Genomic DNA, 26,951 nt, shown 5'->3' with positions numbered 1-26,951 from the left:
GACCTTAAGTGCACAACTCAGGGTGATCCTTGGCATGGAGCCAGACTATAAAAATAAAAAATAAGAACAAAAAATGGCAAACCCTGGGCAAGGGGAAGAATCTGATTTTCAAAATTATCACATTATTAGATTCAAATGTCTGGTTTGAATTTTTATTATTTTTTATTTTTTGTACAGACATGGTCTCCCTTAGTTTCCCAGACTGGTCTCAAACTGCTGGGCCCAAGTGATCCACTTGCCTTGGCCTCCCAAACTGCTAGGAGGCTCCCAAAGTGCAATGGCTCCAAAATGTGAGCCACCACACCCAGCCTGGTTTGAATTTTTTAAAAATCACAAAATCACAAGACATACAAAGTTTGAATCTAAAAATTCACCAAAAAATCACCAGATACACAAAGAAATGGAAATATGAGCCATTCAATGGAAAAAACAAAAACAAGAAAAACGCATGCTAGTAGATACGCTCTCTGAGAAAGACCAGATGGTGACCTACTACAAAGACTTTAACTGTCTTAAAGATGCTGAAAGAACTAAAGGAAAACATGGATAAAATAAGAAAACATGAACAAAATGGAAATATCAATAAAGAGAAAACCTAAAAAGAAACAAAAAAATATAAGATGGAAAAATAATAACCAAAATGAGAAATTTACTAAAGAGATTCAAAGGAAGATTTGAGCAGGCAGAAAAAAGAATCAATGAACTTGAAGATAGGATAATTGACATTATTGAGTCTGAGAAACAGAAAAAAGAAGAAAAGTGAACAGGGCTGGGTGGCTCACGCTTGTAATCCCAGCACTTTAGGAGTCCAAGACAGGTGGATCACCTGAGGGCAGGAGTTCCAGACCAGCCTGGCCAACATGGTGAAACCCAGACTCTACTAAAAATACAAAATTAGATGGGTGTGGTGGCACATGCCTGTATTCCCAGCTACTCAGGAGACTGAGACAGGAGAATTGCTTGAACCCAACAGGCGGAGTCTGCAGTAAGCTAAGATCCCACCACTGCACTCCAGCCTGGGTGAGACAGAGTGAGATTCCCATCTCAAAAAAAAAAAAAAAAAGAAAAGTGAACAGATACCAAGAGACCTGCAGGACACCATCAAGTAGACCAACATACACATTATGGAAGTTCCAAAAGGATAAGAGAAAGAGAAAGGTGCAGAGAGATTATTTGAAGAAATGATGGCCAAAAACTTCCCAAGTTTGATGAACAATATGAATTTAAACATCCAAGGAGCTCAGTGAACTCCAATAGAATGAACTCAAAGACAGCCACACCAAAACACATTATAGTCAAACTCAAAAGCCAAAGACAGAGAATCTTGACAGCTCATCACATACAAGGAATCCTCAAGAAGATTATCAGCATATTTCTCATCAGAAACTTTGAAGACTACAAGGCAGTGCAATGATATATTCAAAGTGCTAAAAGAAAAAAAAAGGTGGCAGCCAGGCTCAGTGGCTCACGCCTGTAATCCCTGCACTTTGGGAGGCCAAGGTGGTGGATCACAGGGTTAGGAATTCGAGACCAGCCTGGTTAACATGGCAAAACCCCGCCTCTACTAAAAATACAAAAATTAGCCGGGTGTGGTGGTGCGCATCTGTAACTCTAGCTACTTGGGAGGCTGAGGCACGAGAATCACTTGAACCTTGGAAATTGAGGCTGCGGTGAGCTGAGATCACACCACTGTACTCCAGCCTGAGTGAAAGCGCAATACTCTGTCTCAAAAAAAAAAAAAAAAAAAAAAGAAGAAAAGTGGCAATTAAGAATCTTATATCTGGCAAAACTCTCCTTCAAAAGTGAGGGAGAGGCCGGGCATGGTGGTTGAGACCAGCCTGGCCAACATGATGAAACTTCATCTCTACCAAAAATATAAAAAATTAGCTGGGTATGATGGTGCACACCTGTAATCCCAGCTACTTGGGAAACTGAGGCAGGAGAATTGCTTGAACCTGGGAGTCAGAGGTTGTGGTGAGCCGAGATCGTGCCACTGCACTCCAGCCTGGGTGACAGAGTGAGACTCCGTCTCAAAAAAAAAAGTGAGGGAGAAATGAGCTGGGCATGATGACTCATGCCTGTGATCCCAGCACTTTGGGACGCCAAGGTGGGTGGATCACTGGAGCCCAGAAGTTTGAGACCAGCCTTGGCAACATAGTAAGACCTCCATCTCTTAAAAAAAAGAAAAAAGAAAAAAAAAATGTGTGTATACATAATTGGTGAGGGAGAAATGAAGACATTCCAAGATCAACAAAAACTGAAGGAGTTTATTATCACTAGATCTATCCTACAAGAAGTTCTAAAAGGAATCCTACAAGTTTAGATGAAAGAACACTAGATAATAAAGCCATATGAAGGAACACAGTTCTTAGTAAAGGTAAATACATGAGCAATTATAAAAGCTAGTATTATTATAACAACAGTTTGCAACTTCATTTTTGTTTTCTACATAATTTAAGAGACTAATGCATTAAAATTTTTCAGTTTGTTTTTGGACACAATGAACAAAGATGTAATTTTGTGACATCAATAAAAAACCTCCCCTTTGGGAGGCCAAGGCGGGTAGATCACGAGGTCAGGAGTTCGATACCAGCTTGACCAACATGGTGAAACCCCGTCTACTAAAAATACAAAAATTAGCCGGGCATGGTGGCGCACGCCTGTAATCCCAGCTACTCAGGAGGCTGAGGCAGGAGAATTGCTTGAATCTGGGAGGCAGAGGTTGCAGTGAGCTGAGATTGTGCCACTGCACTCCAGCCTGGGCGACAGAGTGAGACTCCATCTCAAATAAAAAATAAAAATAAATAAAATAAATAAAAATTAAAATTTAAAATTAAAAACCTCCCAACAAAGAATAGCCAAGGATCTGGCTTCACTGGTAAATTCTACAAACATTTAAAGAATTAATGCCAATCTTCAAACTCTTCCAAAAATGGAAGAGAAGGGAATGCTTCCAAACTCATTTTACATGGCCAGCATTACCCTGAAACCAAAGTCAGAGAAAGACAGTACAAGAAAAGAAGAGAATTAATGCCAATCTTCGAACTCTTCCAAAAATGGAAGAGAAGGGAATGCTTCCAAACTCATTTTACGTGGCTATCATTACCTTGAAACCTAAGCCAGACAAAGACAGTACAGGAAAAGAAAATTACAGGCCAATATACCTAATGAAGATAGATGCAAAAATCCTTAATAAATACTAGCAAGTCAAATTGAACAGCATATTAAAAGGATCATATACCATGAACAAGTGAGATTTATCCCTACAATGCAAGGATGGTTCAACATACACAAATCAATAAATGTGATACACATTTAAAAAATGAAGGATAAAAACCATATGATTATCTTAATAGAGGCAGAAAAAATTTTGATAATCAACGTATTTTCAGGATAAAAACTATAAACAAATTAGGTATAGAAAGAATGTCCCTTAACATAATAAAGGCCATTATATCTGAGACCCACAGCTAACATCATACTCAATGGTTAAAAGTTGAAAGCTTTTCTTCTAAGATCAAGAACAAGACAAGAATGCCCTCTCTTGCCACTTCTATTCAATACAGTATTGAAAGTCCTAGCCAGAGCAATAGGCAAGAAAAAGAAATAAAGGCACCCACACTGGAAAGGAAGCAGTAATTGTCTTTCTTTGCAGATGATATGACCTTATTTATAGAAACCCTTAAAGATTCCACCAAAAAACTATTAGAATAAATGAATTAAGTTGCAAGATACACACAGTAGCATTTTTATACATTACAGGTTGAGGATACCTTATCTGATATGCTTGGAACCAGAAGTGTTTTGATTTGGGATTTTTTTTAGATTTTGGAATATTTGAATTATATTTACTGGTTGAGCATTCCAAAGCTGAAAATTTGAAATCCAGAATGCTCCAATGCGCATTTCTTTGAGTGTCATATCAGCACTCAAAAAGTTTTGAATTTTGGAACATTTCAAATTTGTGGTTTTCAGACTTGGAATGCTCAACCTGTAATGATGATCTATTCAAAAAAGAAATCAAGAAAGCAATTTCAGGCTGGGTTGGTGGCTCATGCCTGTAATCCCAGCACTTTGGGAGGCCAAGACGGATGAGTCTCTTGAGCCCAGGAGTTCGTGACCAGCCTGGCAACATGGCGAAACCTTGTCTCTATCAAAAAAAAAAAAAAAAAAAAAAAAAAAAAAAAAAAAAAAGCCAAGTGTGGTGGTGCATGACTGTAATCTCTGCTACTTGAGAAAATGAGGTGGTAGGACTGCTTGAACCTGGGAGGTGGAGGCTGCAGTGAGTCGGGATCACACCATTGCACTCCAGCCTGAGTGACAGAGCAAGACCTCATCGGGAAAAAAAAAAAAAGGAAAAGAAAAAAGAAAGAAAAGCTGGGCACAGTGCCTCCTCACGCCTTTAATCCCAGTTACTTGAGAGGCTGAGGTGAGAGGATTGCTTGAGGCCAGGAGTTCAAAACCAGCCTGAACAACATAGTGAGACCTAGTTTCTAAAAATAAAAATAAAAAATACATTTAAAAAATTAGCCATGGCCAAAACCCCAACTCTACTAAAAATACAAAAATTAGCTGGGTGTGGTGGCATGTGCCTATAGTCCCAGCTACTCTGGAGGCTGAGGCAGGAGAATCGCTTGAACCTGGGAGGTGGAGGTTGCAGTGAGCTGAGATGGCACCATTGCATTTCAGAGCCTGGGTGACAGAGTGAGACTCCATCCCAAAAAAAAAAAAAAATTAGCCATGGCTGGGCACAGTGACTCACAGCTGTATCCCAGCACTTTGGGAGTCCAAGGTTGGAGATTGCTTGAGGCTAGGAGTTCAAGACCAGCCTGGGCAACAAAATGAGATCCTGTCTCTTCAAAAAATTTTTAAAAATCAGCTGGGTGTGGTGGCATGCACCTGTAGTCCCAGCTACTCAGGAGGCTGAGGTGGGAGGATTGCTTGAACCTGGGAGGTTGAGGCTGCAGTGAGCTGAGATCATGCCACTGCACTCCACCTTGGGCAACAGAGTGAGACTGTCTCAAAAAAAAAAAAAAAAAAAGAAAAAAGAAGGCTGGGCGCGGTGGCTCACGCCTTTAATCCCAGCACTTTGGGAGGTTGAGGCAGGTGGATCACCTGAGGTCAAGAGTTCCAGACCAGCCTGGCCAACATGGTGAAACCCCATCTCCACTAAAAAAACACAAAAATGAAGGCCGGGAGTTTGAGACCGGCCTGACCAACATGGAGAAACCCCGTCTCCACTAAAAATACAAAACTAGCCGGCCGTGGTGGTGCATGCCTGTAATCCCAGCTACTTGGGAGGCTGAGCCAGGAGAATCACTTGAACCTGGGAGGCGGAGGTTGCAGTGAGCTGAGATCACACCATTGCGCTCCAGCCTGGGCAACAAAAGCAAAACTCCATCTCAAAAAAAAAAAAAAAAGAAAGAAAGAAAACAAATAATCCAATTTAAAAATGGACAAAGGACCTGAATAGACATTTCTCAAAAGAAGACACACAAATGGCCAATAGATATATGAAAAAATGGTCAACATCACTAATCATCAGGAAAATGCAAGTTAGGCCAGGCACGGTGGCTCACACCTGTAATCCCAGCACTTTGGGAGACAGAGGCTGGTGGATCACTTGAGGTCAGGAGTTCGAGACCAGCCTGGCTAACATGGTAAAACCCCATCTCTACTAAAAATACAAAAATTAGCCAGGTGTGGTGGTGCATGCCTGTAATGCCAGCTACTTGGGAGGCTAAGGTGGGAGAATCACTTGAACCTAGGAAGAGGAGGTTACAGTGAGCCGAGATCATGCCACTGCACTCCAGCCTGGGCAACAGAGCAAGACTCCATCTCAAACCAAACCAAAACAAAATGAGATATCACCTCACACCTGTTAGAATGGCTCTTATCAAAAAGATAACAAGTGTTATCAAGGATGGAGACAAAAAGAAAACTTCATACACTGTTGGTGGGAATGTAAAATGGTATAGCCTCTATGCCAAACAGTATTGATACTCCTCAGAAAATTAAAAATAGGACTAACATATGATCCAGCAATCCACTTCTTGGTATATGTATCTAAAGGAAATAAAATCAGTATGTGAAAGAAATATCTGCCCTCCCATGTCACTGCAGCATTGTTTACAATAGCTGAGATAGGGAATCAACCTACATGTCTATTAATGGTTAAATGGATAAAGAAAATGTGGCATATATAAACAATGGAACACTATTCAATCTTTGAAAAGGAGGAAATACTGTCATTTGCAACAAGGATGAAATTGGAGGACCATCATATTAAGTGAAATAAGCAAGGCACAGAAGGACAAATATTGCATGATCTCACTTACATGTGGAGTCTGAAAAAGTTGAAGTCATAGAAGCAGAGGGTAGAACGGTAATTGCTAAGGGTTGGAGAGGTGGAGTTCAGGGGGAGTTGAGAGATGTATGTCAATGGGTGTAAAATTTCAGTTAGACAGAATAAATTCTGGAGATCTACTGTATAGCATGGTGACTATAGTTAATAATGTATACTTGAAAATTGCTAAGGAAGTAGATCTTAAATGTTCTTACCACAAAAATGATAAATATGAGAGGTGATGGATATGTTAAACAGCCTGATTTAATCATTTCACAATGTATACATGTATCAAAACATCACACCATATAGCATAAATATATATAATTTTAATTATACCTTAATAAGTCTGGAGGGGGAAATAGATCATATGATCCAGCAATTCTACTTCTGGGTATATAACCAAAGGAACTGAAAGGAGGGTCTTGAAGAGATATTTATACATCCATGTTCACAGCACTGTTATTCACAATAGCTAAAATGTGGAACCAACCCAAGTGTGTATTGGCAGATGAATGAATAGGCAAAATGTGGAATATACATATAATGGAATATTATTCAGCCTTTCTAAGGAAGGAAATTCCGACTACATGCTACAACATGGATGAAACTTAAGGGCATTTGTGCTAAGTGAAGTAATCCAGTCACAAAAAGACAAATAACATATGATTCCACTTACAGGTGGTACCTAGAGTAATCAAAATCATAGAGACAAAAAGTAAAATGGTGGCTGACAGGGGCCAGGGAAGGGGAAAATAGGGAGTTATTGTTTAATTGGTATAGAGTTTTTATTTTCCAAGATGAAGAGATTTGGAGATAGATGGTGGTGATGGTTGCACAATATGAATGTACTTAATATCACTGAACTGTACACTTAGAAGTGGTTTAAATGGTAAATTTGATGTTATATATATTTTATCACCATAAAAATATTGAAAAAGGGGCTTTAAAATGCCTTCAGGGCAAATAGCTTTGGGTGCTGGGCTTACTTCTCTGGGTTGTTGCCTTCTGACTTTGGCCCAGTTATTACTCACTCTCTTATTAATTCTTCATTGTTTTCTATGTCATCCAGCTTTTTTTTTTTGTTTTTCTTTTTTTTTTGAGACAGAGTCTCATTCTGTCGCCCAGGCTGGAGTGCAGTGGCATGATCTTGGCTCACTGCAACCTCTGCCTCTCGGGTTAAAGGATTCTCCTGCCTCAGCCTCCTGAGTAGCTGGGATTACAGGCATACACCACCACACCCAGCTAATCTTTTTGTATTTTTTTTTTAGTAGAGACGGAGTTTCGCCATGTTGGCCAGGCTGGTCTTGAGCTCCTGACCTCAGGTGATCCACCCGCCTCGGCCTCCCAAAGTGCTGGCATTACAGGCGCGAACCATCGCACCCGGCCCATCCAGCTTTTAAAATTGTCCTCAAGAGGAGATTGATCTGAATAACCTAACATATCCTTACCAAAAACAGACGTCCTCTCATTAACCCATTTCAAAGTTCTCTACCTGTTCTGTGCTTTATACTTCCCTTTCCTCTTCACTACCCACGGTAAGACAAATTTCCTAGGCTCTGTAAATTATTACATCTGTATTCAATGCCAATTATTACCAAGTTTTATTATTATTATTATTATTATTATTATTATTATTATTATTATTGTTTTAGAGATGGGGTTTCACTCTGTTGCCCATGCTGGAGTGCAGTGGTGTGATCATAGCTCACTGTAACCTCAAACTCCCAGGCTCAAGTGATCCTCCTGCCTCAGTGTCCTGAGTAGTTAGGAATACAAGCATATGCCACCACATCCAGCTAGTTGTTTTTTGTTTTTTTGTAGAAACGCAGTCTTGCTATGTTGCCCAGGTTGGTCTTGAACTCCTGGCCTCAGTGATTCTCCCATCTTGGCCTCCCTAATGCTGGGATTATAGGTGCCATGGCACCCAGCCTAAAGCTATTTTAAAAATACATGTTTGGCAGATTAGCAAAGGACGATCAGGTCAATATCAATAAAAATATTAAGATGGAGCCCTCTAAAGAAAACACTTAAGATTTCTTTTGGCTGGGTGTGGTGGCTCACATCTGTAATCCCAGCACTTTTGAAAGGCCGAGGCAGGAGGATCACTTGAACTCAGGAGTTCAAGACCAGCCTGGGCAACATGGCTAAACCTTATCTCTACAAAAAATACAAAAATTGGCTGGATGTGGTGGCACACCCAGCTACTTGGGAGGCTGAGGTGGGAGGACTGCTTGAGCCCAGGAGTTTTAGGATGCAATGAGCTGTGATAACGCCAGTGTAGTCCAGCCTGGGTGACAGAGTGGAGACCCTGTCTCAAAAAAAAAAAAAAAAAAAAAAATTTCTTTTGTCCAGAGAATAAACACCACAGAGACATGGGGGACAATTTCTATTATCTTAGGTAAAATTATCACTTCCAATGAAAAATGAAAAATTATTTTTCTAACTTGACCTATTAACACCTTAAAAATGGACACCGTCACCCATTTGGCTCCTTCAATGTCAAATCCTAATTTGAATGTGACAGATATTTAGCCATCAGTGAAAATATCAGCCAGGCTGGTGGCTCATGCCTGTAATCCCAGCATTTTGGGAGGCCGAGGCAGGAGGTTCACTTGAACCCAGAAGTTTAAAACCACCCTGGCCAACATGGTGAGACCAAAAAATAATAAAAATGTAATCAACCAAGCGTGGTGGTGCACACCTGTAGTCCTAGCTACTTGGGAGGCTGAGGATAGCTTGAGTCCAGAAGTTTGAGGCTTCAGTGAGCTATGAGACCCTGTCTCCAGAAAAATAAAAAGAAAAAGAAAATATCAAACTAAGTTTAAATATATTAAAGCTTATATTACTACTTATCATAGAAGGTTAGACCTTTCCAATTTTTTTTGTAAGAAAATATAGAAGATATAATTACATTTATACTAAGAGCTTACATGGAATTCTGAAAAGTGGAAAAGTCATCAACTTGTGATCCAAAAACAAGAAATCCTAACTGGGCATAAGCAAAGAATATTATAAAAAACATGATGGCAAATCCTACTATGTCTTTAACACAACGGGACAAGGTTGATGACAGCTGAGACATTGTCTTGTTAAAGCTTATGAATTTGAATATCTGAAAAAGAACAAAGTTAATTGAAATAGGAGAATATCAAAGATGAAATTACTTAGAATAAATTAATTTCAGAAGAATTCTGCTTCGAATTAAAGGAGATATTTAATGATAATCATGGGTGTTTGAGGATTTCCCAGCAATCATTACAAGGCCAAACTTCTGTTTTTTTTTTTTGAGATGGAGTCTCACTCTGTCACCCAGACTGGAGTGCTGTGGCATGATCTCGGCTCACTGCAACCTCTGCCCCCTAGGTTCAAGTGATTCTCCTGCCTCAGCCTCCCTAGTAGCTGGGATTACAGGCACGTGCCACCATGCCCAGCTAGTATTTTTTGTATTTTTAGTAGAGACAGGATTTCACCATGTTGGCCAGGCTGGTCTCAATCTCCTGAGCTCAGGTGATCCGCCCACCTCAGCCTCCCAAAATGCTGGGATTACAGGCGTGAGCCACCGTGCCTGGCCAACTTCTTTTTTTTCTGTCATCCAGGCTGGAGTGCAGTGGGGGATTACAGCTCACTGTAACCTCCACTTCACGGGCTCAAGGGATCCTCCCACCTCAGCCTCCAGAGTAGCTGGAACTACAGGCTTGCACCACCACACCCAGTTAATATTTTTTTGATATTTTTTGTAGAGATAGGATTTCCCAGGCTGGTCTCAAACTCCTGGGGCCAAGAATCTACCTGCCTTGGCCTTCCAAAGTGCTAGGAGTACAGGTATGAGCCACTGTGCTGGCCCAAACTACTTTTAAAATTACTTAATAGTTGAAAAAATCTTTTTTCCCCATGGCTTTTTAGTTTAATTTTTCATTATGCTATTACACTGCTTGTATTATGTAATATAATGAAATATAAATACCTTTATCCATGCAAAAAAGATGGTAATAGCAATTATATTATTGTAATAAATGTGCCAGCATGCAAGAAAATAGAAATCTGAATATTTTTCAGTACTTTTCAACAGCTGTCCAAGTAAGAGAAAAATTTGTACATTATAGTATGTGTTGAAGGAAACAGCCACAAAACACAACTAAATGGGAAAATAAGAAGGGTTAAATTAGAGAATATCTCTACCTCTAAATATCTTACAGCCTATGAGGAAACACAAAAAAAGTTCATCAAAAGTTTAACAAAGAGGGAAGGAAAGATAGGACATATGCTTTTACATAAATGGAAATTACCCTCAACTTATACAAGTTTAAGGTAGCATTAATTATTATAAAGTTGAAAAATATTAATTGCTTGGCCATCCTAACCTATCTAAATCTTTGTTTCTTTGCGTCATAAAGCGCAAATGTATAAAATGATTATGTAACTCTGAGGCCATAAGGATTTTTGCTCTACATAATACTTAAAAGCTAAACATTTTCTACCGTGTAACACTACAAGAAACAATTTACAATTACAAAAAATAAAACCTTCTGGAACCTTTTAACAACCCTTTAAAAGAGTATTTCAGAACCAGGTTGTTTTAGCTATCAGAGTTTTATAACTGACATGAAAATTTTCCTTTGACTTTTCTTGCCTCAAATGCTCAAATAAACATTTAATGTTATGTCCTTTGTAAGATATTAGTGGAGTTACCAGAGAGGTAGGTGGCATGCTTTCTGACTCTCAGAAACCTTCAATCTGTTTTTGGGAAACAAGGCTTAAATACTTGATTGGCTATAATTAAGGGCCAATAAGGGTGAAAGATCAGATTGTATAAGCCAGAAACATTGGTTCTTTGTTCCTAAGACCAAACTCTTAACATTTGTCTCGGCCTGCCTAAATCTCTGTTTATTTCAGTGCATTTCATTGACTAGAACTGATGGTCTTTGGTGTTTCTTTCAGGGACTATTTCCCCAAACCTGGTGCCCTCTGGACTCATAAGGTCTCCTCTGGCTGCTCACCCCTGTCAGTATTCTGCTTAGCCTTGTCTTTTGTCTATTTTTTCAAAATTTATTATGAGAAGGAAAACAGATTTAGGCAACATAGATTATTTTAAACAACCTTGCCCCCAAAGACCCGTGACTGGTGAAACTCAAGGCCCTGTAAGTAATACATTTTTTAAGTAGGGGTAGGGAGGCCTACTGTGCACATTAAAGCGTAATATTTCTGGAATCACCTTTCCCTGTAGGTTTACGCTGACCCTCCCAAGGACCAAATCAGAAAAAAATAGATCTCTCCCTTTTGGAGGCACCCATTAGTAGTACTATTCCCAGTACATTTTATGTTTGATACTTGTAGCTTTCAAAATAAGTCCTGGATGAATAGAAGATTCTGTCTTTTTACACCTCCTTCATTGGTAGGTTCAGATGTGATCCCCTTCAACCATACACATGAATATATACTCACCAGCAAAAGTAGCAATTCTAGCCAGTTCCAAATACTTTTGAAATAGGCAGACTTAAATTCTTTTATTTTTTTGACTTCTTGTGTTGTGAAGACAAAAAGAAAAATACAGAATGTGATTTCACAGGAAGCAATAAAATAGTCATAGTAGCTAACATATCTGAGGAGCTTCACAGAGTAAAACTGCCATGAAGTAAGTATTCCTCCAGTTGCAGGGAATTCTGCCACCAATCTGTAAAATCAGGTTTGTGAAAGCAACTGTTCATTTCAAGCATTTATATTTCAGTACTTAATGTGAAATTTTCAATCAATGATTATGTATGCTTTAATGATAATCAGTTTTTTTTAATAAAGTATTTTTCCTTGGGGAAATGGGTTCAATTTAAACATCTTCTAGATTTACCTATTTCATAGTGGCTCCACTTTTTCTATACCTGAATATTCACAGTGGTCAAAGACCAATGTAAATGAGAAAGCAAGTTGTGATTTTTTTTTCAGACATTCATTCTATTTTGTGTTCAGCTTGCTTGTTCATAACTGGGAATATAATTTATGTCCACAGGAGAATGATATGTTCAAGAAAATGCTATACTGTTAGTTACTGTTATTAGTTAAAACTCTTCCCCAATATACATAATTTTTGAATACTTCAGAGGGAGGACATACATTCTCCCTCTTTAGATTATCAGAAATGCTTCTTGCTTCTAAATGTCAAGGTCACATATTCTACTAAAGCAAATGTTTTCTGTTGGATGCGGATACAAAGATCTATATGCAAACAGAAGTATAAAAATTAAATTCAACACTACATATAAAAAGATTTTGAGGTTCACTGTATCTCTGGTGTTCTCCACAACTTCTGATAATTAAGAATTGGTGGCAATTTGAGGAACCAGCATTTCTATCACAATATTACAATTTAATTATTCCTACTAAAGATATTAGCAAATGTTGGTACTCTTATAAGGTGCTCCCAAAACAACAAAAACAAAACCTCAGTTAACAAATAAAACTTACATCTTACACATACTAGGCAGTGAGTGAAGTGAAGGAAACTCAATATTATGATCTGAAGTGTAGACTAATCAAAAAAGGAAAAATTAATACTCTGTTTAGTTTGCCTGATAATTGTACAAAAACGAAAATAAACGGATAAGGTGTAAGTAATATGCATCTACACAACTACTGATTAGATACGCCAGTTAACAGTTTCAAAGTCTGCTGAAGTTTCTAAAAAATAACATTTTAAAAGGTAACAGAATAAGCATAAAACTTTCAGAGAGGAAATCTGGACTTAATCTTATATTACAAGGGCTTCTTCATGTGACTTAAAGCCAGTTACCTCAATGCTTCCATTCTTGTTTAGAACATAAAAATAATTTGTACTCTTCATGTTATCCTGATCAGGACTGTTGGGAAGGGTGAATGAAGTTGGTAAAAAGCTCTGATTTTCTGAGAGAACTTTAAAATAAAAGGTATAATATCCATTGGCTGCTTAAGGCAGTTTATTTGTTTTATTCATTTTTACATATTTTAAAGGCCATGGTGTGTTTCACTCTCCCTGTTGCACGGGGAGCAAAATCCCCTAAACTCCAATTCCATATTCCATTCAGGAAAAAATGTAAGACTTACGAGAGAAAAATGGCTCACTGATTTAAAGTAAATTTTTTTTAACTTTTAGGTTCAGGGGTGCATGTGCAGGTTTGTTATATAGGTAAACTTGCGACTTGAGGGTTTGGTGTACAGATTATTTTTTCACCTGGGTACTAAGCGTACTTCCTGACAGTTTTTTTCTGAACCTCTTCCTTCCCACCCTCCTCCATCAAGTAGGCCCCAGTGTCTGTTGTTCCCCCTTTTCTGTCCATGTGTTCTTATTATTTAGTTCCCACTTATGAGAACATGCAGTATTTGGTTTTCTGTTCCTGTGTTAGTTTGCTAAGGATGATGGCCTCCAGCTCCATCCATGTCCCTGCAAAGGATATGATCGCATTCTTTTTATGGCATAGTATTAGATGGTGTATAGTAGACACTGTTGTTTGCCTCTTTAGCAGTCATTATTCCATTTTTTTCTAACAGAATCTTAATTGAATTCAGTCTTTCGCCCATCCCCAGATCACTTAGTGGAAGCTGATTAAATCCCCAGGCAGATCCAATCATGGTAATCCTTTGCTAAGTGTTTGATTCTAGAGCAAATCCTTTGCTAGTGCTTGATTCTGACTCCCATGTTGTTTGAAGATCAACTATATATTGAATTTAAAAAACATCCGAAGCCCTCATATCTGAACCCACCAATGAAGGAGGTATAAACCCTTAATAGGGTTTTTAATTTGTTCATGCTTGTGCTGAGATTAAAATCATAAGGTTTAAAATAAATACAACGTAGGCTGGGCGGGGTGGCTCACGTCTGTAATCCCAGCACTTTGGGAGGCCAAGGCGGGTGGATCGCCTGAGGTCAGGAGTTCGAAACCAGCCTGGCCAACATGGCGAAACCCCGTCTCTACTAAAATACAAAAAGTAGCTGGGTGTGGTGGTACATGCCTGTAATCCCAGATACTCAGGAGGTTGAGGCAGTAGAATCACTTGAACCCAGGAAGCAGAGGTTGCAGTGAGCTGAGATCATGCCACTGTACTCCAGCCTGGGCAACAAGCTAGACTCCATCTCAAAAATTAAATTAAAAATAAAAAAATAAAAAATGTAGTTCTACTGTCAATGTGGAAAAGTAACATCACATTGTTTTATTATTTCAAAATTTATTTAGGAACATGTAGATTACATACAATATGTTAGTTTTATATGTTTAAGAATATGTAGTCTCATTTCTTGTCTTTCTGCAGCTACAAAGAGCTATCATTTAGTCTCGATAATTTCCTCCTGTAATCAGATCATTAAAATCTGTTGGTTTCCTTTCAGAATGGCTTCTTTATTAAGTTACCAATTTTTGTCTCAAGAATGAACAATTTAAATTTCAATGTGTAATAGCAGCCAGCATCCCAGAAATGTTAGAGCCTGTGGTATATTGCAAAAATAGCTATAGTTCTTCACATCTTTTTGCCTGGCCTGTCACCCAGGAGAGGGTGTACTGCCCCAGCCCTTGATGCTGGACTCAAACACATGAATTTCTTTGGCCAATGGGATGTTAACAAATATGATGCAAGCAGAAACTTGAAATGAGTTTGTACATTAGAACTTGCTCTTTGGGACCTCTACAACTGCCATGAGAAAGACATGCCTGGGCTAACTTGGACCCAGAAGACGGATGAGATACATGTAGAGCAGAACCAACTTAAAGACGCATGTGTGGGTCCTGCCAAATGGCAGCTATATTGGCAAGCCTAACAGAGATCAGTCAAGCCCAGCTGGATCAACTGAACTCTGTAAACACATGAGAAATATTTATTGTAAGCCACTACACTTGGAGGTGGTTTGTTACCTAGGAAAAGCTAGATACAAGACCCAACTTGGGCCTCAGCAATTTACCTCTGAATCATTTAGGAGACTTTTGGTTGTAACCAAAAACCCCAACTTAAATTGGTTTAAACAACAAAGAAATTTATTTCTGTCACATAGCAGCAGTTTCAGAGATACAGCAGACACCATTTGTGGTAAGTTAACAGATCTAGCTCCATTTCTTTGAGATGGCTTCAGTTTTGCCCTCCTTTGTGTTAGCTTAGTATCTTACGCTTCCCCAAGATGTCTGTGTACAAGCAGCAACTGTGATTATATGTCATTGATGTCACTAAAGAGATAGCACCAACCAAAGAGAAAAAAAAATTATTCCCATTAGTCTAATTGGGTTACCTTAGGTCACCTCCCTAACATGGACCATGCTAATTGATTTATGCCAGGCCAAGCTCACTGCACTCCAGCCTGGGCAACAGAGTGAGACTCAGACTAAAAAAAAATCATAGGGAAGAGAAAATATGTTTACTGTTCACTAAGTGGGTCTTCATAATGGTCTTTATCCTAGTTGCCCTCATACTGAGTAGGCTGAGGAGGAGGAGGGGAAGAGAAAGGGAGGGTCTTGCTGTCTCAGGGGTGGCAGAGCGGAAGAGGTGGAGGAGGTAGAAAGAGAGGCAGGAGAGGTGAGTGCATTCAGTGAAACTTTACAGATTTTACATAGTAATTTTTCTGACTTTTTTTTTTCATTTTTCTAAAAACGTTTTACACAGTACCATTCCTTCAACCCTTTGCTTTAGTTTCTGTGTCTATATCATTGAAGGGTCCATGTCATAAAAGAAGTCAAAAGCAGTCTTGAATAATCGGAACCCTTCTCCAGATGTCTAATGTCCATTTGTTTTCTGTTCTGTTTCTATGTTTTCCTTCTCGTTATCTGGCACTGATTTGGAAGGTTAATTCCTCTGGTGTGGTGTCCATTAGCTCTTGATTTCTCCAAGATCAGTTTCCTGAAACCCTTCACCCTCCCACTTTTTTTTTTTTTCCATATCCACATCTCTTTCATGATTTCTTTGATTGACTCTGTCATAAATCCTGTGAAGTCATGCACATCTGAACAGTTTTCTCCAGCGGGTATTTGTTGTTTCAGGTTTGATGGTTTCACAGTTTTTAATAACGATGATGGCATCTTCAATAATGCAATCCTTCCACACTTTCATGGTGTTCTCTCTGTTGGGGTTCTCTTCCACAGTGTCGACAATCCTTTCTAAAGAGTACTGTGTGTTATGAGCCTTAAAAGTCCTCATGATCCCCTGATCTAGAGGCTGAATTAGAGATGTTGTGTTTGGGGATAAGTAAACCACTGGAAAAAGCATCAATGGAACCATTGTAGAAAAAGAGTTCTCATTGTCCAGGCCTTCTTGTTGTACAACCAAAAGACTGGAAGCTGGTGTTTATCTTTTCCCTTCAAGGTTAGGGGGGTTAGCAATTTTATAGATAAGGGTAGTCCTGATAATAAACCTGACTTCATTTGCACAAAACAGTAGAGTAAGCCTATTCCTTCCTGCCTTAAATCCTTGTGCTTGTTTCTCTTCCTTATTAATCAATGTTCTTTGTGGCATTTTTTTTTTTCCAGAATAGGGCACTATTGTCTGCATTAAAAGCCTGTTCAGGCAGATATCCTTTCTCCTCAATGATTTTCAAAATGACGTCTGCTATATTGTCTGCTGCCACTTGCTTGGCAAAAGCTACTTCTGCTATCTTGACATTTTTAAAAGTGAAACCTCTTTCTAAAAGTATCAAACCAATCTTTGCTGGCATTAAATTCTCCAACTTTAGATCCTTCACTTTCCTTTTACCAGTTGTCACATGATGACTTTTCTTTCTTTCTTTCTTTTTTTTTTTTTGAGACACAGTTTTGCTCTTGTTGTCCAGGCTGAAGTGCAATGGCGCTATCTCGGCTCACCACAACCTCTGCCTCCCAGGTTCAAGCGATTCTCCCAGCTCAGCCTTCTGAGTAGCTGGGATTACAGGCTGTGCCACCACGCCCGGCTAATTTTGTATTTTTATTAGAGATGGGATTCCTCCATGTTGGTCAGGCTGATCTCAAACTCCTGACCTCAGGTGATTCTCCCACCTCGGCCTCCCAAAGTGCTGGGATTATAGGCGTGAGCCACCGTGCCTGGCTGACTTTGCTTTTTAAAAATCGTTTTAGAATCTAAAGGTATGCCTTTCTTACAGCAATCCTGCATTCCCACAGAAGCTGCATTTTCAATGAGATAAAAAGGCATTTTGCAAAAAGTGCAAGATTTTCACACCTGCTGGCAGAGCTGCAGCAATGGCTTCATGAATTTCACATAGAAGCTGCATTTTCAATGAGATAAAAAGGTATTTTGCAAAAAGGGCAAGGTTTTCACACCTGCTGGCATAGCTGCAGTGATGGCTTCATGAATTTCCTTTCCTTCCCCCTGCTTCCAGGGCAATGGTCCTTAGTTTCTGGATTCATTTATCTTGAAATCGTGGGCAACTGCAGCTGCAGACATCAATTTATGATACATATCAAGTAATTCAACTTTCTCTTTCAATGTCATGATATTTCTCTACTTTGTGGGAGCACCCCCAGTATCACTAGTGGCACTTTGTATGGGTCCCATGGTGTTATTAAAGGTTCATGATATTGCACTAAATACGATAAAAAACACACGAGAACTATAAGAGATCACTTTTTTACTGAGATACACAATTTACTGGAGAGACAAACTGCTTATGTGAAGATGGTGAGCATCACACGACACTTTAAATGGATACTCATAACACTAGAGTTCACTGCAATAGCAACAGGAGATGGCTACAAAATTCTTACACTAGTACAGTACGTACTCTAATTTTATGCAGTTATGATATAGTACTACATCTTTTGTTTACATTTTTCTTGACTGCAAATGGTGCCATATGTTTATGTGCATAAGTTTTGGCAAATTTTAACTTCTTATAATAGATTTGTGTATACTTTGTGATAGTAAACAATAAAATAGATGAGTATCTACAGGTATTTTATGCATTCATGACATGCCTAACTTTTTCTTAATTTTTTTTCAGTATTTCTAGGTTACATGGTTTGTCTGGGAGTTTTTTCAAATTGTCACAAAGGTTCAAAACATTTTCCAATATATTTACTGAAAAAAATCCATATCTAAGTGGACCTGTGCAGTTCAAACTCATGTGGTTCAAGGGTCAACTGTACTAATAAAGAAGTTTTGTAGGCCATTGACCACTGTCTATGAAAAAAAGTTTTGAGTCACTCACCTGATAATACAAAATAGATTTACATTAGCATTATATAAGGAAAAATCAATAAAAATAACTCTAGTCCCTCTTGTGATCCAGCTGTTCAGTCGAAGGTCAATGAACTTGTTTTTGGTTTCAGATTTCGATTTTGATAAAGTGAAAATGTATCCCCCATTTCGGTAAACACCAAGAAATCCCCAGTGCCAAGGGGAGTTGGTATTAGAAGTAGAATATCTCCATCTGTTACACATAAAAAGAATAATGGTGAAATGACAAAGCCCAACTGAGAAGTATTCTAAGAATTTAAATCGATCTTTGGTTCAAAAGTAGTAGTTTTTTGGCCAAGTGCGCTGGCTCATGCCTGTAATCCCAACACTTTGGGAGGCCGAGGTAGGCGGATCCCTTGAGCCCAGGAGTTCGAGACCAGCCTGGGCAATGTGGTGAAACCCTATCTCTACAAAAAATACAAAAACTAGCCAGGCATGGTGGCATGTGCCTGTAGTCCCACCTGCTCAGGAGACTGAGGTAGGAGGATTGTTTGGGCCCGGGAGGTTGAGCTGCAGTGAGCTGTGATCATGCCACTGCACTCCAGCCCAGGCAAAGAGCCAGACCTTGTCTCAAAACAAAAACAAAACCAAAAACAAACAAAAAACCAAAACAAAAGTAGTAGTTTTTTAAAAAGCAGTAGTAAATTCATAAGTATTCTAGTAATTTTAAAGCAAGACAATGCATTAAGGATTAAAGGATTACGATTTAATTAAGATTTAATGTAGTTTTTACTTTTTAATGCATATGGTGGGCAACACCACTGGACTAGGTGCTATGAGATAATTTTTCAAAAATCCATAACTTTTCAAAAATTAGCTGGGCATGGCAGCACATGCCTGTAGTCCTCGTTATTCAGGAGTCTGAAGCAGAACTGCTTGAGCCCCGGAGTTCAAGGCCGCACTGAGCTATGATTGCACTACCGCACTCCAGCACTCCAGCCTGGGTGACCAAGTAAGACCCTGTCTCAGAAAAAAAAAAAAAAATCCATCTGTTAGCTGTGGTGGCATATGCCTGTAGTCCCAGCTACCCAGGAGGCTGAGATGAGAGGACTGCTTGAGGCCAGTAGTTTGAGGCTGCAGTGTCGATGATGGTGCCTGTGAATAGTCCCTGCACTGTAGCATAGGTCACATAGTGAGATCCCATCTCTAAAAAACAAAAAAATCCATCTGTTGTCTCAGGGAGCTTAGAATCTAGAAAATGACGACTGTTTTTTTTCTTTAACAGGTTGTTTCTGTTATGAGATATTTAGTTTTTGAGTAGGACAAAACTATCAAGAGTTTTGGCTCAGAAATGGGTAAAAAACATGCTTCATAATCTGTCTTGTAAATGTAACATATTGTTTATAAATGCTCAATAAAAACTTTGTTACAATGTCCATGTTGTTACGTAGATATTTTAATGAAACATAAAATCAAAGTAAACTGTGTATAACTAAATTTTGGATCCCGTGCAATGGCTCATGCCTGTAATCCCAGCACTTTGGGAGACTGAGGTGGGCGGATTACTTGAGGCCAGGAGTTTGAGACCAGCCTGGCCAACATGGTGAAACCCCATCTCTACTAAAAATACAAAAATTAGCTGGGCGTGGTGGCGCATGCCTGTTATACCACCTATTTGGGAGGCTGAGGCATGAGAATCTCTTGAACCCAGGAGGCGGGGGCTGCAGTGAGCCAAGACTGCGCCACTGCACTCCAGTCTGGGTGACAGAGTGAGACTCTGTCTCAAAAAAAAAAAAAAATTTTTTTTTTGTTTCTTCTTTTTATTTTTTAATTTAATTACAGGATATCCAAAAAAAGAAAGCTTTGATTCCTCATTTCAGTCTCTCTATTCAGTTCCCCAAAAACAGATTTGAAAGGTTATTCAAAGATGCACTGCTTAAACCTGTTCTACTAATAACACTATGTTTCAGCAGGGAGGGAAAGAGACACCACTAGGAAAAAGTACCTATGTTTTAATGAAACTTCCATAGTTGTATTTTTGAGTGTTTTCCACACATGACTATTAAGTGGAAACAGGAAGATCTGTTACACCAGATCTCTCCTAGCTTCCAATTTTTTGTTTTTAATTAGTGAATTTTACATTTTAGACAAGGACAAATTGATTCTTTTTTCATTGTTGAGGATTAACAGATATTAATTCACAATTCCAGTACAGAGATTATAAAATAAACCTAATTGATAGTGTTAATTTTGGTATTTAATAAAGTATTTGTACTTGTTATGAGAATTTGGAATATTAAAATTCTTAAAAGATTAGTCTTAGGATTCCAATTTAAAAGGTGTAAATAATTGCTTTATCTTGTAATTTGGGGTTGAAAGAAAGTGAATAGTACTGTAATAGTTAAGAGAATGGGCTGGGTGTGATAGTGCACACCTGTAATTCCAGCACTTTGGGAGGCCGAGGCGGGTGAATTGCTTGAGCCCAGGAGTTCGAGACCAGCCTGGGCAACATGGTGATATCCCATTTCTGCAGAAAACACAAAAATTATCTGGGTGTGGTGGCATGTGCCTGTAGTCCCAGCTACTTGGGAGGCTGAGGCAGGAGGATTGCTTGAGCCCCGGAGGTCAAGGCTGCAGTGAGCTATGATCTTCACTGAACTCCAGCTTGGGCAACAGAGCAAGACCCTGTCTCAATAATAATAATAATAATAATAATAATAATAATAATAATAATATAATAATGTATCATCATACTTATGAATGTATTCGATTTATAAGAATCATACAAGTCCTCAGGAACACTACAAACTCATACAAAGAAGAAACAAGTTAAAAAAAAAAACCCAGCAATGATTAATCCTGGGAGTTCAAGACAGGTTGTTCAAGAAAGGAAATATAATCACTATTCATATTTATAATATAAACATTGACTAATGATTGACAATAATTATGATATAACTATATTGAGATGCTAAGAGGAACAGGAAGAGTGTGTGTAGAGGGGTAGCATAAGAGAGCTATATGACGCATCACCTTCCAAGACAGAAAAACAATAGAGGCCAGGCGCAGTGGCTCACACCTGTAATTCCAGCTCTTCGGGAGAGCAAGGCAGGAGGATTACTTGAGGCCAGGAATTTGAGACCAGCCTGGGTAACATAGAAAGACCCTGTTTCTACAAAAAATGAAAAACTAGTCAGGTGTGGTGGTGTATTCCTGTAGTCCTAGCTGCTACTCAGCAGACTGAGGCAGGAGGATTGCCTGAGTCAGGAGTTTGAAGCTGCAGTGAACAATGATTACACCACTGCACTGCAGCCTGAGCAAGAGAGTGAGATCCTGCCCCTAACGAAAAAAACAAAAACAAAGCCAAAACACAACTGTAAAATCAAGTATAAGGTAGCAGTATGAGAATGTAATTTAGAAAGACAAAGTATATACCAGAAGAAACAACTATAAAAGAGTTAAAAGTAGCTGCTTCTGGAGAGTGGAAATTATGAGTAGGAAAGGGTAGGCCTTTGTAGATATTTGTATCACTTTAATAAATATCAAATTACAAAAAATGTCTATTCTCTTCTCAATTTTTTTTTTTTTTTGAGACGGAGTTTTGCTCTTTATTGCCCAGGCTGGAGTGTAGTGGTCCGATCTTGGCTCAATGCAACCTGTGCCTCCTGGGTTCAAGCGATTTTCCTGTCTCAGCCTCCCAAGTAGCTGGGATTACAGGCATGTGCCACCATGCTTGGCTAATTTTTGTATTTTTAGTAGAGATGGGGTTTCACCATGTTGGCCAGGCTGGTCTTGAACTCCTGACCTCAGGTGATCCGCCCGCCTCGGCCTCCCAAAGTGCTGGGATTACAGGTGTGAGCCACCACACTTGGCCTTTTTTTTTTTTTTTTTGAGACTGTGTCTCACACTACCGTCCAGGCCAGAGCGCAGTGGCATGATCTCAGTTCACCACAACCTTCGCCTTCTGGGTTCAAGTGATTCTTGTGCCTTAGTCTCCTGAGTAGCTGGGACTACAGGTGCTTGCTACCATACCTGACTAATTTTTGTATTTTTAGTAGAGATGGGGTTTCACCATGTTGGCCAGTCTTGTCTCAAACTCCTGAACTCAAATAATCCACCTGCCTCAGCCTCTCAAAGTGCTAGGATTACAGGCGTGAGCCAATGGTTTTCATAAAGCTCTAAAAGCACAAAGTGTGCACTGCACTGATACCAGCAGCTTCTGTGTCAAGGAGAGGCAGTGCCAGTGGCACTGCGTTTTCACATTTCCTTCCTTCCTTTTTTTTTTTTTTTTTTTTTAGGGACAAGGTCTCCCTCTGTCGCCCAGGCTGGAGTGCAGTGGTGTGATCATAGCTTGCTGCAGCTTCAACCTCCTGGGCTCAAGTGATCCTCCTGGATCAGCCTCCCGAGTATCTTGGACTACAGGTAAGCAAGCCCCACCACACCTGGCTAATTTTTAAATTTTCTGTAGAGACTAGGTCTCAGTATGTTGCCCAGACTAGTCTCGAACTCCTGCCCTCAAGCAATCCTCCTTCCTTGGCTTCCCAAAGTGCTGGGATTACAGGTGTGAGCCACCATGTCCAGCCTCACATTTTCAATATAAAGTGTACACGAGTCTACACCAGCACTAGCCTCAGTCACTTTGAAACACAATGGCCATAGCATCTTTGTAAAGCATCATCAGATGCAGTCCCTGTAGAGCATAACTGCCCCATTTTAGTAGGGGCAGCAACAGAAAAAAATCACTGAAGGAAGCCAGAATGAGAGAGGAGGAAAGTGACAGAGCACACCTAAGACACCCACTAAGGATCCCAGATTGTCTTGGGGATGTGTTGTGGGCATCTAGCCACAGCCAGAAAAGCAGATTAATTGACCATTTTAGAAGCAAAAATGGATGCTTTGCCCTGTGTCCAATATGACTAAGCAGTTCATATACCAAAGTCAGAAAAAAGAAAACACTTTGCATCCTAAAGTAAACAAAAAATAATAGGTTCACCCTTCCTTTTCTAAACACTGCTATCTCCACATCTTCCTTTTTTACTATTGTTGAAACAGTTTCCTTACCCTTCCAGGACCCAGCTGGTGTTACTTGGAAGACACATATCTAAAAGATACAACAGTAAATGCTAGAAAAAGTTACAGTATAATTTTATGCTACTTACTCAGTATTAATTTGAAGGCCAAAATTAGAGAGGTCTTCATTTGCAGAAGTATATTTGCCATAACATTCACTCATCAAAGACTGAAAAGATGAATAGACTTTGCATGTGTTGTTGCGGACTTTTAGTTGACGAACTCTGGGAACTCCTAGAAGTATATTTTCATAGTAGATGCGACTGCTGTTCTTTAAATTATACAGCTGCTGGTTATTGTACCATGAATCCCAGTACAGACCTTCCAAAAGGGGTCCTTCCATAAACTCCACAGAGAAAAACAAATGTCATGGGAAAAATATTTTCATGTCAACAGAATCTACATTCATAACATTATGCATAAGAGATTTTGAGTATGAAAATCAAACTATTGACCAAGCTACCATTAATGGTAATGGTAATGCTAATGAAGCTACTGTGGATGGTTAACACTCATTAAGCACGTACTGTGTACTAGGCACTGCTCTAAGCACTTTACAAGCATTAACTTATGGAATCCCATAGCCCTTCTTCTCTCCTTATATGAGTAAATCGAAAATTTTCTTCCAATACATGAGTATCAGAGCTGGTCATAGCCACACATCATGATTTCACTCCAAAGTTGTCTGTACCCCTCCTCCCAACCCTCCTCCCCGACTCTGGCCATGGTGCCTGCTACTCCTGGCTCTGGCCCTTGCTGATCGTTCTAAGATGAACCCAAGCCCAGGGTTCATTTACTTCCTCCCTTTGTCTTCTCTGCCATTGGCCACATACATGCTTCAGAAAACACAATAACAAAGTGGCAAGGTGACCTCCACCTCTTTTATTATTGTTTCCTATTTCACCTAGCCTAAACCAACCGTCTAGGATCATTTAGCCCTCATCTCACACTTGCCCTCTTCCAGGAAATGACCGTGTCTCCTTGATAAGTTTCAAATTCCTGCACAGCATTCATGATATGAACTCTGTCCAATTCATAATTTGGTCTTTTCCACCTCATCTTCCATATGCTCACAATACCAAACATAGCTCCACATGTAGAATTACTTATAGAACATATTGTTCCTTCTTCCTAAAATACCCATCCCTGATTCATGCTTCAAAATGCAACTAAATTGTCATCACCACTGGAAGCGTTCTCTGCCTTGTCCTTATATGCCCCAATGTGCATATGCCAGGTTTTGTGACCTGGGATAGCTGAAACTGCTGTCCCCTTAACTGTTCTTTCTTCATAATGTGAGCATGTTGCTATGTTAAATGTAATGGAAAAAGCAAGTCTATTCCACTGCTGAAGGAATGATTCCCTTACGTAAGTAAAAACACCATGAAATTATATTCTTATATATAAATTTTATTATATACTGTACCTTACTGTAACACATATAAACAGTAAAGGTTTTATGCCAAAACCACATATATTACACTTTCTGGGCAATTAAAGAAATTTTTAAAAGTAAATTTCACTATACACAATTATAGACTAGATCCTAACCCTCACATAGTAGATGCAAGTCTTCTATTTAACAAATGAAATGAGAATGTCTAAAAAAATCAAAAAAAATTTTTTTTTTGAGATGGAGCCTAGCTCTGTTGCCCAGGCTGGAGTGCAATGGCATGATCTTGGCTCACTGTAACCTCCACCTCCCGGGATTACAGGTGGCTGTCACCATGCCTGGCTAATGTTTGTATTTTTTAGTAGAGACGAGGTTTCACCAAGTTGGTCAGGCTGGTCTTGAACTCCTGACCTCAGGTGATCCACCCGCCTTGGCCTCCCAAAGTACTGGGATTACAGGCATGAGCCACCGTGCCTGGCCAAAAAAATTTTTTAAAAAATTACAAGAATAGTATCAAACTGAGAACACAGGCTCTCAAAAACACTTACTGGTTGGTTGTTTCTAATAGTTTAAAGAAATGACATTTATTTTTATTCATTTCTTCAAAAGATATTCATTGAGTGCCCACTGTGTATGCCAAGGGTTCATGGACTACCTAAATCTACTTCATCCACAGTCACAAGATACTTTACCTTCCAAAAATCAGTTATGCTGCGAATGGACTTAAAGTTGGTTCTTTCTTCACCAGGCACAGAAGTGTCCAAAAATAGAGATGACATAACCTTGTTTAAGTAATACATATGTGGGTTTACCATCCCAAAAGTCACTAAGGAGAATAATTTTTTGTTTAATAATTTACATTTAAAAACTCAGCTTATCAGGATTAAAAATGTTACATTTTTTTCTCAATTTTGAAAATTAAACTTTATTAATCTAATTATAAAAGTAATAATTTAAAAAATCTAAACTAGAAATATAAAAAGTAGGATGTGGTTTCTAGAATTAGTCTGGCAAATATTCTTCAGACATTTCTTTATGCATACACATTTATAAAGAAAATAATTTTATCTTTACAAAAATGAGGACACATTATACACACTATTCTGCAAGTTGACTTTTTCTCTACATGAGAGTAAGGCAATATAGTATGGTGAGTGGTTAAGGTTACATGGACTTTGAATTCAGACAGATAAGGGTGTGAGTCCCATCACAGGGATAGTATCTCTTACCCCCTAGTTTTGTTGTGAGAAGTGAGATGATGCACACAGAACATTTTAAACTGTGTTTTGGCACATGATGAGTTTTTAAAAATATTAACTAGTGGCGGGGCGTGGTGTTGCACCCATAATCCCAGAACTTTGGGAGGCTGAGGTGGGTGGATCACCTGAGATCAGGAGTTCGAGACCAGACTGACCAACATGGTGAAAACCCTGTCTCTACTAAAAACATACAAAATTAGCCGGGCGTGGTGGCACAGGCCTGTAATCCCAGCTACTCCGGAGGCTGAGGCAGGAGAATCGCTTGAACTCAGGAGGTGGAGGTTGCAGTGAGCCACTGTACTCCAGCCTGGGTGACAGAGCGAGACTGTCTCAAAAAAGAAAAAAAAAAGAAAAAAAATCACATTATAAATGGAGATTCAGGTTGCTGTATTATATTAAAAAAAGTGTTCTTTAAAAATCTCTGAATAATGGGATTATAAATGATCTTTTTACTTACATTTTTACATTTTCCAAATGTTCTGTAGTAAGCATGTAGTTTTCATAACCAAGCTTTTATAAAGCAGTCTAAGATATCTTAATTTATAAAGTTGCCTACAGTTATCTTTTTTTTTTTTTTCCTTGGGACAGGGTCTCAGCCTGTCACCCAGGCTGAAGTGCAGTCGTTGCAATCACAGTTCACTGCAGCCTCGACCTCCTGTGCTCAAGCAATCCTCCACCTCAGCCTTCTCAGTAGCTAGGACTACAGGGGTGTGCCACCACACCTGGCTAATTTTATAGTTGTCTTTTCAATCAAGAGCAGACTCAAACTCAC

General features: G+C 39.1%; 1 protein-coding gene across 8 annotated transcripts in view; it reads right to left on the bottom strand.

The window, feature by feature from the left end:
* PKD2L2 (polycystin 2 like 2, transient receptor potential cation channel) overlaps positions 1-26,951 on the bottom strand; it is a 53,291-nt gene that overhangs the window by 24,522 nt on the left and 1,818 nt on the right. For 4 of the 8 annotated variants that reach the window (NM_001300921.2, XM_017009343.3, NM_014386.4 and 1 more), the window contains 6 exons: positions 25,613-25,746; positions 23,617-23,873; positions 18,489-18,710; positions 11,792-12,020; positions 10,314-10,484; positions 9,280-9,461 (listed from right to left, as the gene is read on the bottom strand). In NM_001300921.2, the coding sequence (NP_001287850.1) occupies positions 9,280-9,461; positions 10,314-10,484; positions 11,792-12,020; positions 18,489-18,710; positions 23,617-23,873; positions 25,613-25,746 (1,195 nt within the window). The remainder of the gene's footprint in view (positions 1-9,279; positions 9,462-10,313; positions 10,485-11,791; positions 12,021-18,488; positions 18,711-23,616; positions 23,874-25,612; positions 25,747-26,951) is intronic. The other 4 variants (NM_001258448.2, XM_017009344.3, NM_001258449.2 and 1 more) reach the window with 4 other exon arrangements.

This window comes from Homo sapiens, chromosome 5 (genome assembly GCF_000001405.40).
Source record: "Homo sapiens chromosome 5, GRCh38.p14 Primary Assembly".
Lineage (NCBI taxonomy): Eukaryota > Metazoa > Chordata > Mammalia > Primates > Hominidae > Homo > Homo sapiens.
This window is presented reverse-complemented; position numbering and strand designations above follow the sequence as displayed.